Here is an 18,310-nt window from a genome sequence, read left to right as displayed (position 1 = left end):
TTCTTTAGTTTTTTTGTAGAGATGGAGGTCTCGCTACGTTGGCCACGCTGCTGCGGGGAGATCCTGATGACCTCTGGCCCTGGGATCCATATAAGCATCATTAACAGGATATGAAAACAAAACAAAACAAGGTCTGTGAATTGAAAATTCAATTAACCATGTAGATGATATGAAAATCCAAGAGGGGCCAGGCACAGTGGCTCACACCTATAATCCTAGAACTTTGGGAGGCTGAGGCGGGCAGATCACCTGAGGTCAGGAGTTGAAGACCAGCCTGGCCAACATGGTGAAACCCCATCTCTACTAAAAATACAAAAATTAGCCAGGTGTGGTGGCAGGCATCTGTAATCCCAGCTACTTGGGAGGCTGAGGCAGGAGAATCACTTGCACCCGGAAGGTGAAGGTTGCAGTGAGCCGAGATCATGCCACTGCACTCCAGCCTGGGCAACAGAGTGAGACTCTGTCTCAAAAAAAGAAAAGAAAAGCAAATCCAAGAGGGCCAGGCACGATGGCTCACACCTATGATCCCAGCTCTTTGGGAGGCCAAGGCAGGAGGATCATTTGCACTCAGGAGTTCCAGACCAGCCTGGGTAACAAGGTGAGGCCCTGTCTGTACAAAAACAATAAAATAAAATAATAAAATAAATCCAAGAGAATGGACTGAGGAGCCCTCCTAATTCACTGTGAGCTCACTCCTCCCCACCCCATCCCTGTCTTTCTTTCTTTTTTTTTTTTTTTTTTTTTTGAGACGGAGTCTCACTCTGGCACCCAGGCTGGAGAGCAGTGGCACCATCTCGGCTCACTGCAAGCTCCACCTCCCAGGTTAACACCATTCTCCTGCCTCAGCCTCCCGAGTAGCTGAGACTACAGGCGCCCGCCACCACACCCAGCTAAGTTTTTTGTTTTTTTAGTAGAGATAGGGTTTCACCATGTTAGCCAAGATGGTCTTGATCTCCTGATCTCATGATCCACCCGCCTTGGCCTCCCAAAGTGCTGGGATTACAGGCACGAGCCACCGTGCCAGGCCCCCTGTCTTTCTTCACTGCATTCTTTTGGGCAGTGTCAGGTAAGAGGGAGGTGGTAGGAACCCAGGGCTGGGTGCTGAGGCTGTTACTCAGCCACTGCATGACCTTGGACTTCCATTTCTTTCTCTGCATAATGCTTGAAATAATTGCCCCTCTCACTGCCATGGCCATGCATGGAACAGAGATGTGCAAACTGCTAGCACCTACCAGGTTTGCACCCAGAGAGGGGCTGCAGGTGCCGCTGTGGCCCCAATGGAGGTGATGGTGACTTAGGTTTATGCAGTGGTACAGGAAGAGGACCAAGCTGATAGATAGTGGGGAGACGGCAGCTAGAATGGATAGGGCAGGTGTGGGGATCAGCTGAAGGAGGAAGGGAGAGGAGTTGGGGTGATACCCCGATTGCTGGGCAGCCAGTGGAGTGGATGGTGGTACCACATGAGAGATAGGAGACCACAGAGGAGAACGGTTTTGGGGAGCAAACTTTGTGAACTTGGTGTTGTATGTGCTGAGTAGAGACACCCACAGGACATCACACTTGTCAGGAGACCACTGGATGTTTGTGTCTTGAACCCAGAGGAGACTGGGAGTGGTGGCTCACGCCTGTAATCCTAACACTTTGGGAGGCTGAGGCAGGCAGATCACCTGAGGTCAGGAGTTCGAGACCAGCCTGGACAACATAGTGAAACCCCGTCTGTACTACAAATACAAAAAATTAGCTGGGCATGGTGGCAAGTGCCTGTAATCCCAGCTACTCAGGAGGCTGAGGCAGGAAAATTGCTTGAACCTGAGAGGCAGAGGTTGCAGTGAGCCAAGATTGCACCATTGCACTCCAGCCTGGGCAACAGTGTGAGACTCCATCTCAAAAAAAAAAAAATAATAATAATAAATAGGCCAGGTGCAGTGGTTCACACCTGTAATCCCAGCAATTTGGGAGGCCAAGGCGGGCGGATCACAAGGTCCCGAGATCGAGACCATCCTGGTTAACACGGTGAAACCCCATCTCTACTAAAAGTACAAAAAAGTAGCCGGGTGTGGTGGCGGACGCCTGTAATCCCAGCTATGGGGAGGCTGAGGCAGGAGAATGGCGTGAACCCAGGAGGCAGAGCTTGCAGTGAGCCGAGATTGCGCCACTGCACTCCAGTGTGGGCGACAGAGCGAAAAAAAATTATATATATTAGCTGGACATGTTAGTGCATGCCTGTAATCCCAGCTACTCAGAAGACTGAGGTGGAAGGATCCCATGAGTCCAAGAGTTGGAGGCTGCAGTGAGCTCTATGACTGCACCACTGCACTCCAGCCTGGACTACAGGGAGAGACCATGTTTCTTAAAAAAAAAAAAAAAACAAAAAAAAAAACAAAACAACAGTGCAGTGGCTCATGCCTGTAATCCCAGCACTTTGGGAGGCCGAGGTGGGTGGATCACCTGAGGTCAGGAGTTTGAGACCAGCCTGGCCAACATGGTAAAACCCTATCTATACCAAAAATACAAAAATTAGCTGGGCGTGGTGGCGCACGCCTGTAATTCCAGCTACTCTGGAGGCTGAGGCAAGAGAATAGCTTGAAGCCAGGAAGCAGAGGTCACAGTGAGCTGAGATCATGCCATTGCACTCCAGCCTGGGTGACAAGAGTGAAACTCTGTCTCAAAAAAAAAAAAAAAAAAAAAAAAAAAAGCCAGATGTGGTGGTGCATGCCTGTAGACCCAGCTACTTGGGAGGCTGAGGTGAGAGATTGCTTGAGCCCAAGAGTTCAAGGCTGGGGTGAGCTATGACCATGCCACTGCCCTCCAGCCTGGGCGATAGAGTGAGACCTTATCTCTACAAAAATAAAAATGAAAAAATGAGCCAGATGTGGTAGCACACCTGTAGCCCCAGCCACTCAGGAGGCTGATGTGGGAGGATTGCTCGAGCCCAGGAGGTCAAGGATGTAGTGAGCCATAATTGCACTACTGCACTCCAGCCCGGGTGACAGAATGAGACCCTGTCTCAACAACAACAAACAACAACCAAAGACTGAAAGCCTCCCGCCTCAGCCTCCCATGGGATTACAGGTGTGAGCCACACTCCCAGCCATCACTCCTATTTTAGGGATGAGGTTACATCCCTGCAGAAGCCCAGAGCAGAAAGGACCTTCTCCCGCAGGACGGATAGGGTTACGGTCAGTTGGAGTTTGCGGGGTCTTCCAGGCACGGGCAGGGGACAGAAAGGGATGGCGTAGACAAAGGCATCAGCACAGCAGAGCTGGGAAACATGAAGGCAGCTGGCAGAGTGCCCTGAGCATCTCTGAAAGGTCCTGTGATCTGCCTGGCTCTGCAAGGAGCGGTGGGACGGGAACCTGGGAGGAGACCGGGGAAGGTGAGGCAGCATGAGAGGGGCCACACATCCTGATTTTTCGGAAGCTGTGAGCTGGTGTTTGAGCCAGAACATTGGATCCCTCTCTGGGCCTCAGCTTTGCCATCCGTGACAAGGGGAGGGTGGCTGAGACTTCTGCGTGCTCGCCCAATACCCATTCTCCTATCCTTCCTCATTAACAGAACCCTGGTTGTATTGATAGTCGCAACAGAGGATGCTTTTTTTTGTTTTGTTTTGTTTGTTTGTTTTTTGCGACAGAGTCTCGCTGTGTGGCCAGGCTGGAGTGCAGTGGCACAATCTCGGCTCACTGCAACCTCCGCCTCCAGGGTTCAAGTGATTCTCCTGCCTCAGCCTCCCGAGTAGCTGGGATTACAGGCACCCACCCCCACGCCCAGATAATTTTTATATTTTTAGTAGAGATGGGGTTTCACCATGTTGGCCGGGCTGGTCTCAAACCTCGAACTCCTGACCTCAAGTGATCCTCCTGCCTTAGCCTCCCAAAGTGCTGGGGTTACAGGCGTGAGCCACTATACCAGCCAACATGAACCTCTTGAAGTCATCTCCCATCCCATCTATCATCTATGTATCTATCTATCCATCCATCCATCTATCAATCTGTCGATCCAGCCATCTATCCATCTATGTATCTATCTATCTATCCATCAATCTGTCGATCTAGCCAGCTATTGATCTATGTATCTATCTATCCATCTATCAACCTGTCGATCTAGCCAGCTATCGATCTATGTATATCTATCTATCCATCTATCCATCTATCAACCTGTCGATCTAGCCATCTATCGATCTATCCATCCATCCATCCATCCTATTGGTTCTGTTTCCCTGGAGAATGCTGACCAATGCAGAGGGCAAGACAGAGAAACCCAGAGGAGCCTGGGTCCCTGACGACCTTGGGGAGGACATTACGCAGCTCCACCCCCAGACTTGTTGCTGCATGAGAGAAAAATAAGCCCTATCTTATTTAAGCCACTGTCGTGGGGATTTTCTGTTATTGGCAACCAAACTCAGCCCCTAAGGGGAGGCCACGTGTCCCGCAGTCCAGGCCCCCCAAATCACACCTACAATGGTTACTTTATCCCAGGACTGTCTGGACTATTATGGAGTTAATTTTTTTCTTTACAGAAACTCATTTTTTGGCCAGGTATGGTGGCTCATACCTGTAATCTCAGCACTTTGGGCGGCCGAGGCAGGTGGATCACTTGGGGTCAGGAGTTCAAGACCCACCTGGACAACATGGTGAAACTCCGTCTCTACCAAAAATACAAAAAATTAGCCAGGCGTGGTGGTGAGTGCCTGTAATCCCAGCTACTCTGGAGGCTGAGGCAGGAGAATCGCTTGAACCTGAGAGGTAGAGGCTGCAGTGAGCCAAGATTGCACTCCAGCCTGGGCAACAGAAGGAGACTCTTGTCTTAAAAAAAAAAAAAAAAAAAAATCAAAAAAGGGTAGCGGACTGCTGAAGGCTGGTTTGCGTCGACATGGCGGTTACCGTGAGTCTCTTGCTGGGCGGGTGTGTTTGCGCTGCTGTCCCTCGCTGCAGGTTGGCGCCCTGTGGGATAGCGGGCCCAGGCCCTATCGGCTGGGAGCAGGACCCCGATTCCTGCCGGAGGAATGGGAGCTGCAGAAGGTGGAGAGGTACCGGCTTCTCCCCAGGCCTCAGCTTGAAGCAGAGCCTTGAGTCCCGGTGCCCCAGACCGCACCCCCTTGGCGCCCGGCATCCTGCCACTGTTACTCCTTCTTACCCATTGTTAGGGGCACAGTGTCAGGTGTTCAGATCCCCTGAGACCACTGCTCCCTTCACTAGTGACGTACTTCATCATCGGTTTAGAGAGTTCGGCATGCTTAGGGCAGTTATTGTTCTAGGTGTTAGCTTTCTGGGTGTATAGAGCAGCTCTAAGCTGGCAACATGGCCAGGTTGCCCTTGCCATCAAAGAGAAGAGGGCTTGGCCGGGCGCGGTGGCTCACACCTGGAATCCCAGCACTTTGGGAGGCCGAGGCAGGCAGATCACGAGGTCAGGAGATTGAGACCATCCTGGCTAACAAGATAAAACCCCATCTCTACTAAAAAAAAATACAAAAAATTAGCCAGGCGTGGTGGCGGGTGCCTATAGTCCCAGCTACTCGGGAGGCTGAGGCAGGAGAATGGCGTGAACCCGGGAGGCGGAGCCTGCAGTGAGCTGAGATCACACCACTGCACTCCAGCCTGGGTGACAGAGCGAGACTCCATCTAAAAAAAAAAAAAGAAGAAGAAAATGATAGAGTCACTCACAGGACAAATACACCAAGGAGATGGAAGGGAAGAAATAAAGAAGTCCAGGACCCGGAGGAGAGCTTTGTGCCTGCTGCTGCACCCCTAGGTCATCAGAGAGAGCTGCAGAAGTACTCCAGTGATTCTGAGAGCACCAGAAGAACCGGCGATGCTGCGTTGCCAAGTGAGCAGAAGCTGGAGGAGTTGAAGGCAGAGGAGCCAGGTCACTTCAGCAGCAAAGTAGTGCAGAGGGGCCGAGAGTTCTTTGACAGCAGCGGGAACTTCCCGTGCAGAATCTGAGTCGGGGCTTGGCACGTGGAGATGCCTCGTGAAACACAGCTGGGCAAGTATTAATATATATGGAGCGGCCTGGATTTCTGCGTATAGATAAGCCCCCTTGGAATAGAAATAAGTGATGAGCCTGGACTGTGGGAGGAAAGAGCTGCGTGGATAGATTCAAACTTCCTGCAAAAGTGCTCCCAGTCTGAGCTCTGTAGATCTTCAGCACTCACTTCTTCTTGCATGGGCTCTCTGTATGTTGAAAACCAGCCTGTGTTGCATGTGTTGTTACAATTCTCTGTGATATTTGCAATATATGTTGTTTTTTTGTTTTGTTTTGTTTTTTGAGACAGAGTCTCTCTCTGTTGCCAGGCTGGAGTGCAGTGGCACAATCCCAGCTCACTGCAACCTCTGACTCCCCAGTTCAAGTGATTCTCCTGCCTCAGCCTCCCGAGTAGCTAGGATTACAGGCATACACCACCATGTCCAGCTAATTTTTTGTATTTTTAGTAGAGCCAGGGTTTCACCATGTTAGCCAGGACAGTCTCGATCTCCTGACCTCGTGATCTGCACGTCTCGGCCTCCCAAAGTGCTGGGATTACAGGCGTGAGCCACAGTGCCGGGCCGATACTTGCAATATATGTTTGAGAGGAAGTGAAAAGTTTGCCTTCTGACCTCATTTCCTTCTTGATCAGTGAACACTAACAGTTTTGGGACAACTTAGTCGATTGGTTTTCCTTACAAGCAAAATAAAGGAAAATGTAGCAGTCAAAATAAATAAATAAATAAATAAACAGGAAAAAAAGAAGAAACTCATTTTTTAAGTTTAGCCTCATTTAAATTATTGATGAACTTCAGTGTCTGATGGCTTCATTATATCTTTTTAATACACATTACAATGAATGTATAGTCTTTAAAATTAAAAAGATTTTAAAAGGTTTGTCCATTAACTTTTTTTTTTTTTTTTTTTGGAGAGAGGGTCTTGCTCTGTCACCCTGGCTGGAGTGCAGTGATGCAATCTCAGCGCACTGCAACCTCCACCTCCCGGGCTCAAGTGATCCTCCCACCTCAGCCTCCTGAGTAGCTGGACTATGCCTGGCTAATTTTTAAATTTTTGGTAGAGACAGGCGTTTTACCATGTTACCCAGGCTGGTCTCAAACTCCTGGCCTCAAACCATCTTCCTGCTTTGGCCTCCCAAAGTGCTGGGATCACAGGCGTGAGCCACCGCGCCCAGCCCCCGTTTTCTTAGTCTATAGGTGGAGAAAACAGTTCACCTCCCCGCCACGTGGCGTAAGTGTGTTTTTGTTCTGTGTTGAGACAGGGTCTTGCTCTGTTACTGAGGCTGGAGTGCAGTGGCACGATCAGGCCTTGTATTCCTGGGCTCAAGAGATCCTCCCATCTCAGCTTCCCAAGTAGCTGGGACTTACAGGCATGTGCCACAATGCCCAGCTAATTAAAAAAAATCTTTCTTTGTACAGATGAAATCTCTCTATGTCATCTGGGCTGATCTCAAACTCCTGGGCTCAGGTGATCCTCCTGCCTTGGCCTCGGAATGTGTGGGGACTACAGGCGTGAGCCACCGCACTTGGCCTTAACAAATGTCAACGATTGAGCCCCTGTAACTTTCCATGCCGTTCAGATCTGGAGAGTGGGAGAAGCTGTTTTCTGAGACAGCAGCTGGAGCTGCCGTTGTGAGCGAATCCTCTATCTCCTGAATCCAGGGATGAGCTTCAGGTGCCAACAGGTGGCCCAGGTGTTCTAAGCAGTCCTGTTTCCTGCACTTAGCATTCTTCCCGAGAAGCTCTCCATGTGAATTCAGCAGCCAGGCTCCAGTGGGAAGACGAGAGGACTTGGGTGGTAGGTTAACGATGGCCACAGCTCCACTGGGAAGCTGAGTCTCATTCTCCTCCCCTTGAACCTGGCCAGGCTGAGGACTGGCTTGGTCAGCAAAGGGTGGCAGATGCAAGGCCATGTCTCCAAGAGGCCTGGCGGCTTCCACCTGGCCCTCTTGGAGCCCCCAGGCTGCCATGCTTTGAGGAGGCTCAAGCCACACAGAGGAGACACCTGTACGTTCTCACATCGACAGCCCCAGTGGAACTCCAAGCCATCTCCAGCATCCACGGAGAGTCATGTGAACGGACCACCGTGGACATGTGGCCCGGATGACTGCAGCCCCCTGACATCAGATTGCAGCCGGGTGGGAATCTGCCCAGCAGGTCCCTGTCAGCCCGCAGAACTGTGCAAGACAATTATCAATGGTAGTTCTAAGCCACTTGGCTTTGGAGTGATTTGTTCTGCAACCGTCTTTGATCACTAGGGGACAGCTGTGCACAACTGGGGCCCATGGCTTCTCAGAAGTTAAAGGTGGGGGCCAGGCACAGTGGCTCACATCTGTAATCCTGGCACTTGGGGAGGCTGAGGCAGACTGATCGCTTGAGGTCAGGAGTTCAAGACCAGCCTGGCCAACGCGGTGAAACCGCATCTTTACTGAAAATACAAAAATCAGCCAGGTGTGGTGGCAGGCACCTGTAATCCCAGCTAGTCGGGAGGCTGAGGCAGGAGAATTGCTTGAACCAGGGAGGTGGAGGTTGCAGTGAGCCAAGATAGCACCACTGCACTCCAGTCTGGGTGATGGAATGAGACCCTGTCTCAAAAAAAAAAAAAAAAAAGAAGTTAAAGGTAGGGTGCAGAGGACATGGGGAGCCCTGATTTTACCCTTCATCACAGGAAGGGAAGTCACTTGGCTGCAGGGCCTGGAGAGAGCATGAAATCCTCCGTTGGGCTTTGTCTTGGGGCCAAACATCTCCCAACTGCTCACCCTGGTGATGGTCCGTCGCTCCTAGTTCAGGAGGCCAGGATTCAAATCCCACCTGCCCCACTCAGCGGGGGGTGCCCCTCACTCCATCACCCATCCCTGGGTCCTGGCTCCCCTCTGTGGCCCCCCTCCAGGTGGGGGTCAGGTGACGTGTTGACAGCGTTTGTCCCTAGTAGAGGGTGTTGGCATGGAGGACTAGGAGGGAGTGTGATCTGACTCTGGGTCCAAATGCTCAGCTCCGGGCCTCACCATGCGACCTCTTGTAGGGTGCTTCTTCTGTGAAACAGGCACGATGAAGCCTCTGCCCAGATCCTTGTCCCTCTGGCTCTCTCCTCCCCCGGGTCTAGTGTCCAGCCCCTCCGCAGGCTCTCGCTGACACCACATGTGCTCACAACGCGCCTGCTTCTCCATTTGGTCGGCCCCCCTGCCAGGATGTGGGCGTGTAGGCAGGGCTGTGCTCCAGCCCCACGGAACACAGGGCCACTTTGTGGAATGAAGGGCTGAGTACATGAATGAAAGAGCCCGTGCAAAGCCGCAACCTGGCGGCCACTGCACTGTGAAAGGGTCTCCTCCTGCCTGCCCCTGGGATGGGCTTTCTGTGAAAGGGTCTCCTCCTGGAACTCCTGGGATGGACTTTCTGTGACAGGGTCTCCTCCTGGAACCCCTGGGATGGGCTTTCTGTGGGGAAAAGAAAGAGAGATCAGATTGTTACTGTGTCTGTGTAGAAAGAAGTAGACATGGGAGACTCCATTTTGTTCTGTACTAAGAAAAATTCTTCTGCCTTGGGATGCTGTTAATCTATAACCTTACCCCCAACCCTTTGCTCTCTGAAACATGTGCTGTGTCCACTCAGGGTTAAATGGATTAAGGGCAGTGCAGGATGTGCTTTGTTAAACAGATGCTTGAAGGCAGCATGCTCGTTAAGAGTCATCACCACTCCCTAATCTCAAGTACCCAGGGACACAAACACTGCTGAAGGCCGCAGGGACCTCTGCCTAGGAAAGCCAGGTATTGTCCAAGGTTTCTCCCCATGTGATAGTCTGAGATATGGCCTCCTGGGAAGGGAAAGACCTGACCGTCCCCCAGCCCGACACCCGTAAAGGGTCTGTGCTGAGGAGGATTAGTATAAGAGGAAGGAATGCCTCTTGCAGTTGAGACAAGAGGAAGGCATCTGTCTCCTGCCCGTCCCTGGGCAATGGAATGTCTCCGTATAAAACCCGATTGTATGTTCCATCTACTGAGATAGGGAAAAATCGCCTTAGGGCTGGAGGTGGGACATGTGGGCAGCAATACTGCTCTGTAAGCCACTGAGATGTTTATGTGTATGCATATCTAAAGCACAGCACTTAATTCTTTACCTTGTCTATGATGCAGAGACCTTTGTTCACCTGTTTATCTGCTGACCTTCTCTCCACTATTATCTTATGACCCTGCCACATCCCCCTCTGAGAAACACCCAAAAATGATCAATAAATACTAATGGAACTCAGAGGCCGGTGTGGACCCTCCATATGCTGAACGCTGGTTCCCTGGGTCCCCTTATTTCTTTCTCTATACTTTGTCTCTGTGTCTTTTTCTTTTCCAAGTCTCTCGTTCCACCTAACGAGAAACACCCACAGGTGTGGAGGGGCAACCCACCCCTTCACTTTCTGTGAAAGGGTCTCCTCCTGGAACCCCTGGGATGGGCTTTCTGTGAAAGGGTCTCCTCCTGCCACCCCTGGGACGGGCTTTCTGTGAAAGGGTCTCCCCCTGCCTGCCCCTGGGATGGGCTTTCTGTGAAACGGTCTCCTCCTCCTGGAACCCCTGGGATGGGCTTTCTGTGAAAGGGTCTCCTCCTGCCACCCCTGGGATGGGCTTTCTGTGAAAGGGTCTCCTCCTGGAACCCCTGGCATGGGCTTTCTGTGAAAGGATCTCCTCCTGGAACCCCTGGGATGGGCTTTCTGTGAAAGGGTCTCCTCCTGCCACCCCTGGGATGGGCTTTCTGTGAAAGGGTCTCCCCCTGCCTGCCCCTGGGATGGGCTTTCTGTGAAATGGTCTCCTCCTCCTGGAACCCCTGGGATGGGCTTTCTGTGAAAGGGTCTCCTCCTCCTGGAACCCCTGAGATGGGCTTTCTGTGAAATGGTCTCCTCCTCCTGGAACCCCTGGGATGGGCTGTGAAAGGGTCTCCTCCTGGAGCCCCTGGGATGGGCTTTCTGTGAAAGGGTCTCTTGCTGCCACCCCTGGGATGGGCTTTCTGTGAAAGGGTCTCCTCCTGCCACCCCTGGGCTTTCTGCACAGTCTCCTTGTCCTCAGGGAGACCCCTGTGAGAAGACGGGGCCGAGACTGCCCGGCCACCATGTCCTCACCAGGGGACTCCAGCCCCACAGGAGGACGCAGGGATGGCAGGGGCAGGTGGAGACCTGAGACGCATGCTGGCCAAACACCCTGTCGAAGATGAAGGTCCGCTCCCGGGACCGGCGTGTTCGCGCCACGTCCTCGGGGTCCTCGCTGGGGTCCATGAGCATCACCATCTGCAAGCAACGAGCCGACCAGGCTGGTCAGGATAGGGCAGGGTCTGCACCCTGGATGGACCCCAGGCCTGGCACCCACCCTGGACCCCTCCAAGAGGCTTGGTCCGGGTCTGGAAAGGGCTGTGGGCCTCTGTGGTTGAGCCAGGAGCAGAGTTGGGGGCCTGCACCCACCCCCCGGCCCGGCACCCTCTCCACTTGCTTCTGAGGAGCAGCATTTACCGCTATTGCACCCTCAAAGCACAGCAGGAAGCCCCCCCAGGCCTGCTGGGCTCTGCAGCCCAGCACCCACACTGGGAAACGCTGCCTTGGTCAAAACACATCGAGGACAGCGGCCCAGCACCCACCAGCCTCCCTCAGGGCCCAGGTTCCTTTGATGAACCCACAGGGCGGGGATGGGAAGGAGATGGGAAGTGCTGAGCTGGCGCCTGGCTGCTGTGCGCAGGGTTTCTGCGAGTGACCCTGAGTGTTTCCGCTCCTGGCCCTGTCTCCTGTGGCTCACTGGGGCTGAACCATACACAGGAAACGGGAGAACAAAGGACCGAGCCGGGTACAGTGAATAACACCTGTAATCCCAGCAGTCTGGGAGGCCAAGGCGGGTGGATCACCTGAGGTCGGGAGTTCGAGACCAGCCTGGCCAACATGGCGAAACCCCATCTCTACTAAAAATACAAAAAATTAGCCGGGTGTGGTAGCGGGCACCTATAATCCCAGCTACTCAGGATGCTGAGGCAGGAGAATCGCTTGAACCCAGGAGGTGGAACTTGCAGTGAGCTGAGATTGTTCCATTGCACTCCAGCCTGGGCGACAGAGCGAGACTCCATCTCAAAAAAAAAAAAAAAAAAAAAAATTAAATTAGCCGAGCATGGTGGTGCATGCCTGTGGTCCCAGCTACATCAGAGGCTGAGGCAGGAGGACTGCTTGAGCCCAGCAGTTCAAGGCTGCAGTGAGCTGTAATCGCATCGCAGCACTCCAGCCTGGACGATCCAGCCAAGATCACCAGCCCTGCTGTTTGTCTCTCTGAGCGCCGGGTCGCCCCCAGGACCATCTCGTATAAATACCTAATTATGATGCAAAGTGTATGCGGGTCCCTGGGGACAGATAGGTTCAAAGGAGCCTTTCCCAGAGAATTGGGAGGGGGACACAGGACAATTAGAAACCACATTCGCCCTCAGCTGGTTAATCCAGCAAGCAGTTCCCTGGCCGGGAGGATCTTGGGGACCCCAGTGGCCGAGAGGAGCCACGGGGTCTAGGGAGGCACCAATGGGTGGGACCAAGCACCCCACCATCGGACAGCCCACCCCACCCCACGCTGGCTCACAAATTTGTAAACTGAGATCCCAGGAGACCAGGGCCAGCCACTGGTTCTCGGGAGTCAGTGGCAGGGCTGGGGCTGGGTCCCTGGGGCTTCCTGGCTTCTAGCCAGCACTTTTCCACTACCTAAGTGAACTAACTCCCTTTTCTTTATGTTTTTCTCCTTCCAAAGATGAAGACAATCAAAAGACAGGATGACTTGGGGCAGCTCCTGTACACACAGCCCCACTGCGTGTGCCAGCCATCGGCCAGGCCTGGGCTGCAGGAGGAATCTGACAGGAAGCAGGAGGGCACTGGTAGTTAAGAAAGCAGGCTTTGTTGGGCACGGAGGCTCATGCCTGTAATCCTAGCACTTGGGGAGGCCAAGGCAGGAGGAACATTTGAGGTCACGAATTCAAGACCAGCCCGGCCAACACAGGGAAACCCCGTCTCTACTAAAAATACAAAAATTAGCAGGGCGTGGTGGCAGATGCCTGTTAATCCCAGCTACTCAAGAGGCTGAGGCAGGAGAATCGCTTGAACCGTGAGGCAGAGGTTTCAGTGAGCCAAGATCACGCCACTGCACTCCAGCCTGGGCAACAAGAGCAAAACTCTGTTCTTTCTTGTGAGTTCCATTCCCTCCCTCCCTCCCTCCCTCCCTTCCTGATGGAGTTTCACTCTTGTTGTCCAGGCTGGAGTGCAATGGCACAATCTCAGCTCACTGCAACCTCCGCCTCCTGGGATCAAGTGATTCTCCTGCCTGAGCCTCCCAAGTAGCTGGGACTACAGGCGTGCACCACCACACCTGGCTAATTTTGTATTTTTAGTAGAGACGAGGTTTCTCCATGTTGGTCAGGCTGGTCTCGAACTCCTAACCCCAGTGACTCACCAGCCTCAGCCTCCCAAAGTGCTCGGATTACAGGTGTGAGTCACTGCACCTGGCCAACTTCCATTCTTTTTATCCATGATGCAGGTGCATCATGCAAAGGATAAGGACCTCTGCAAAGATCCTATGAAGCCACCGTCCTCTCCCACCCTACTTGTCCCCACTCTCTCAGCTGATTCCTTGGGTCTCGACCCCCTCTGCCATGTCCTTTCCTGCAGAGCCTGTCTCCCCTCGAATTAAACGCCTGTCTGGTTTTTTCGTTTGCTTTTCCGTGAACTCAGCACTGATTCACCTGCCCCCTCTGCAGTCCACTCCCCCTGGGGATGTCTGTGCACCTGATCTTCTGTCCATTTCATCTTCTTTTTTTTTGTTGTTCTTTTTTTTTTTTTTTTTTTTGAGACGGAGTCTCGCTCTGTCACCCAGGCTGGAGTGCAGCGGCGCAATCTCGGCTCACTGCAAGCTCCATCTCCCGGGTTCATGCCATTCTCCTGCCTCAGCCTCCTGAGTAGCTGAGACTACAGGCACCTGCCACCATGCCCACCCAATCTTTTTTATTTTTAGTAGAGACGGGGTTTCACCGTGTTAGCCAGGATGGTCTCGATCTCCTGACCTCGTGATCCACCCACCTCAGCCTCCCAAAGTGCTGGGATTACAGGCATGAGCCACCGCGCCTGGTCCATTTCATCTTCTTTTTTTTTTTTATTTTATTTTATTTTTTTTTTTGAGACGGAGTCTCGCTGTCGCCCAGGCTGGAGTGCAGTGGCGCAATCTCGGCTCACTGCAGGCTCCGCCCCCTGGGGTTCACGCCATTCTCCTGCCTCAGCCTCCCGAGTAGCTGGGACTACAGGCGCCCGCCACCTCGCCCGGCTAATTTTTTGTATTTTTAGTAGAGACGGGGTTTCACCGTGTTAGCCAGGATGGTCTCGATCTCCTGACCTCGTGATCCGCCCGCCTCGGCCTCCCAAAGTGCTGGGATTACAGGCGTGAGCCACCGCGCCCGGCCGTCCATTTCATCTTCTTGCAGACGATGCCCTGAGCCTCCTGACCTGGGACCAGGACTGGTGCCCCCCTGCCCAGCGGGGAGCTCCCTCTGACACACCCAGGGTCCCCTGCCCCTGAGTGCACATGACTCCCAGGGGCCATGTCTCCTTCCTTATGAAGCTGCCTCTCTAATGACGAACGGGAAAACCTGATCCACTTGGCGACACTGAGTTCCACCCCACACTGGGCATTTCTTCTTATGAGTGACCACCGAGGCCATAGACATCCCTAACCTGTGGCAACAGCTTGGCTTCTGAGCCTGCTTCAAAGTGGCAGAGATCCCCGTGCTGGACAGCATGCTGGCGCCCTTCCCTGCTGAGCTGCAGCCACCCAGGCCCTTTCCAGCCACACAATTTCAGAGCCAGGCCTGCTGAAGGCTCTGCCCTCCTCCCAGCCCCCTCCCTGCTCTGTGGCCCTGCCACATGCTCCTGCTGGGGGGCTCCAGCCTGCTCCCCTGCCCTGACTTTGCCCACCCCCACGGGCTCTGCTGTATTCTCCTGGTGGCACTCATCTCTCCCTTTGTGTGCCCCGAACCCTGACTAGAAACTGGGCCCAGTGGGGTGGGCATGGTGTCAGTCTTAGCCACACCTCCAGGACAGAGCCCCATCTGTGAGCTTGTGACAGCAGGGAGCCCCCTGAGCCCCAGCCTCACCTGGTCCCCCACTTTGTGGGCGATGACCGCGGCTCCCTCCTTCAGTTCTGCGTCATTGAGCGGGTGGATTCGAAGTGCCACCTGCAGGCAGTCACCAGGGCGGCTGCTCTGGGATCTGCTCAGTCTCTGTGAAGAGGTGAAGGCAGCAGCTCAGCCCCGTGCCCCTCAGGGTGGGCTCTGACTTCACTCCCACGGGGCTGCCCGTGCCCCCAACAAGACATGGCCTCCCTCACTGAGGAGATGGGGAGGTTGAGGCACACAGCAGGGAGCGCCTGCCCAAGGCCTTGCCTCCCAGTCCTGCCACCTCCAGAAGAGATGCTGAGCTCCTTCATGGGAAACTTCCCCAAGGGGAAACTGGGGGCCTTGCCATCCCCACTCCCTATTCTGAGGGCCAGATCCCGGCCTCAAACCCACCCAGCTGGATAGTAACTGTGGCCCCAGGACGCTTGTTTCCCCCTCTATAAAAGGGACACATTTTTTGGTAGAAACAGCAGCTGTGGCTGAGGGACAGTCATGACTGGCATCTCTTTTTACCCAGCTACAGCCCTGGGGCAAGTCCCCAGCTCAGCTCACCGCTGTCCAGTTGGCGGAGGCTCTGAGTCCCCCAGCAGATGGCCTGGATTGGGCCCAGGGAGGGGGCTGGGGAGCCCAGAGCCCGCACACCCAGGTGCCAGCAGCATGGGGATTAGGGGTGGAGAGGGTGTCTGGAGGCTCAAGGCGGGGGTGCGGAGGCAGTGGGGAAGAGCGGGGCAGCTAGCTCCCAGCGAGGGAAAGTTGGGGAGTAGACCGGGCTGATAACAGAGCAGAGGGGTCGCCGGGGTTGCAGGCTTGGGAGGCGGCGTCGGGCACTCGCAGACTGGGGGGGCGGGAACACGAGGGAGGGCGCTCACCATTAGTGGCTGGTCTTTGGGCTCCATCTCTCAACGCCGGGCTGCCCCGGGCCGGGGAGGGACCTGCAGCCTGGCAGGAGGGTATGGGCAGCGGGATGCGCTCCCTATCACAGCAGAGATGAGACCTGCCTGCGCTCAGCCCCGCTCTGCTCTGCCTAGGTGACATCAGCTGGGCCTTGGGGAGCCGGGCTGGCACCACTCATGTGGTTGGGGCCTCAAGGAGCAGGGTGGCCCTCTCGATCACCTTGGCACACAGGGACAGCGCCAGACGCTACAGCAGCCTCTATCTCCACCCTCACTATGGCAACCCCCGGTTTCCATGTGCCTCACCCGGTGCACATGAGCCAGCCTGACACCCACCAGGACACAGGTGGAGGGGCTGCCCCTCTTCTTTGCAGGGTGGGTCCCTCTACCACCTTGAGCCCAGGAGAGGCGCTGCCCACCTCAGGGCCCCTCACACAGAAACCAGGATGGCCCTGGAGCTTTTCCCTTGAAGCAGACAAATGGCAGCAGCTGAAACTTCACACAGCAACTTGAGCAACTTCGACTGCAACTGCCGTTTCCAACGGCGACTATGTTTCTTTTTTTTTTTCTTGTCACCCAGGCCGGAGTGCAGTGGTACAATCTTGGCTCACTGCAACCTCTGCTTCCTGGGTTCAAGCAATTCTCCTGCCTCAGCCTCCCGAGTAGCTGGGATTACAGGCACCTGCCACAATTTTGTGGCTCATTTTTGTATTTTTAGTAGAGATGGGGTTTCACCATGTTGGCCAGGCTGGTCTCGAACTCCTGACCTCAGGTGATCTGCCCGCCTTGGCCTCCCAAAGTGCTGGGATTACAGGCGTGAGCCACCCGCGCCCGGCCCGCGACCACGTCTCCTCCCCTTTCCCAGTAAGCGCTTGATTGGCTCTCAGGTGTATTCAACACCTAAAGGCTGTGCTCCTTTTCCACTGCAAGCCCGGGGAAAGGCACCGCACCGTGAACCTGCTCCCCAAGGTCACCTGACCCGTCCAGGCTGAGCTAACCAGAGTGCAGGACGACACTGCCCAGAGCCAGGGTCGGTGCCAAGCACAGAAACCCGCTCCTGCACTGACAGAGATCACGCCAAAGCCAGGCCGGGCGTGGCACACGCCTGTAATCCCAGCTACTCGGGAGGCTGAGGCAGAATTGCTTGAACCCGGGAGGTGGAGGTTGCAGTGAGCCGAGATCACGCCATTGCACTCCAGCCTGGGCAACAGAGCAAGACCTTGTCTTGACAGAAAAAAAAAAAAAAAAAAAAAGTAAAGAAATCACATTAAAATCGGATCCAAGCTGTTCAAGCCTGGCCAAGTCCAACTTCATGATGCCAACCACGGAGCTGAAAGGGCCCGGGGGTCCATTCCCGCCAGAGTGGGCGACTCAAGCCCTCCCAAGAGCCACCATGCCTTTCCCATAAGCCGACTGCCTGGCAGCTCAGCTGTGCAAGGCCAGGGCATGTTTTTGGCCACATCCATCTCTTTCTTGGCATCCGGGTCAACACTGTGCAGCAGGAAACCCCAGCCAGGTGGATTCGGCTACCCCTCCAACAACCACATCCCTGTCCTCTAGGAGGATGAGGCTCCAGCGTCTGACCACGGCACTTGCCGGGAACACGTTTACAAGTCCCCGCGTTCTTGCCTGCCTCAGCCTCCTGAAACACAACCAAGGCCATGCCTGCAGCAGGGGTCCCAAACACCCCCCCCCCCCGATGTCCTGAGCCCGCCAGCCGTGGGGACCCTGATACCCAGGAAGTCCCTCCACAGCAGGCCGGCTCTGGGAGATCCATGTCTACCGTAGCAAAGTTAAAACCAACGCAAGGGCTTCAGAAATCCTTTACGAATTATATGAAACAATGACAACTAGTACATTTAAAACAGTGGAAAGTTAATTTTTTTTAGAATATCTGTTAAAAATCTGTCATATGGTAGAACTGTGTGCCTTTCTTCTTTCGATGAAATCAGAAAAACTTTCTCGGCACACTAGAATTTAAGCAGCAAGAGTATAAACAAGAATTACTAATAAAATGTGCACTGGAGGGACACAGGATGAACGGCAGGACTGCGACAATTCTAGAACTGTAGAATCGCAGATGAGAGAAATGTAGGGCTCCCAAAAAAGCAAACGCACCAAGGCGCCCTCCTCACACCTGGGAGACCCAGTGTGACCTGAGGCTCTAGGCCACTCCTCCAGGGTGGCAGGAGCCCGGGTCCTCTGCCCTGTGAATTACAGCCCCTCCCAGTCTCCAAACGTTGCCTTAGGTTTGTAAATGGCCCTTGGCTGTGAGTTCTGAGG

At 54.1% G+C, this 18,310-nt stretch overlaps 2 pseudogenes, besides 1 other annotated feature; one reads left to right on the top strand and one right to left on the bottom strand.

Annotated features, from left to right (window-relative positions):
* Positions 5,600-6,688, top strand: NGRNP3 (NGRN pseudogene 3; annotated as a pseudogene).
* KIF19BP (kinesin family member 19B, pseudogene) lies at positions 7,511-17,804 on the bottom strand (annotated as a pseudogene).
* Positions 9,440-10,336: an enhancer, noted in NCBI's record as "NANOG-H3K27ac-H3K4me1 hESC enhancer chr7:2429085-2429981 (GRCh37/hg19 assembly coordinates)". NCBI's record gives its function as "activates a minimal SCP1, AML or CMV promoter by ChIP-STARR-seq in primed H9 embryonic stem cells {active_cell/tissue: H9 hESC(primed)}" and the evidence as "EXISTENCE:reporter gene assay evidence [ECO:0000049][PMID:30033119]".

Source organism: Homo sapiens, chromosome 7 (assembly GCF_000001405.40).
Source record: "Homo sapiens chromosome 7, GRCh38.p14 Primary Assembly".
Classification (NCBI taxonomy): domain Eukaryota; kingdom Metazoa; phylum Chordata; class Mammalia; order Primates; family Hominidae; genus Homo; species Homo sapiens.
The sequence above is the reverse complement of the archived record's forward strand: the minus strand, read 5'-3'. Positions and strand labels throughout refer to the sequence as shown.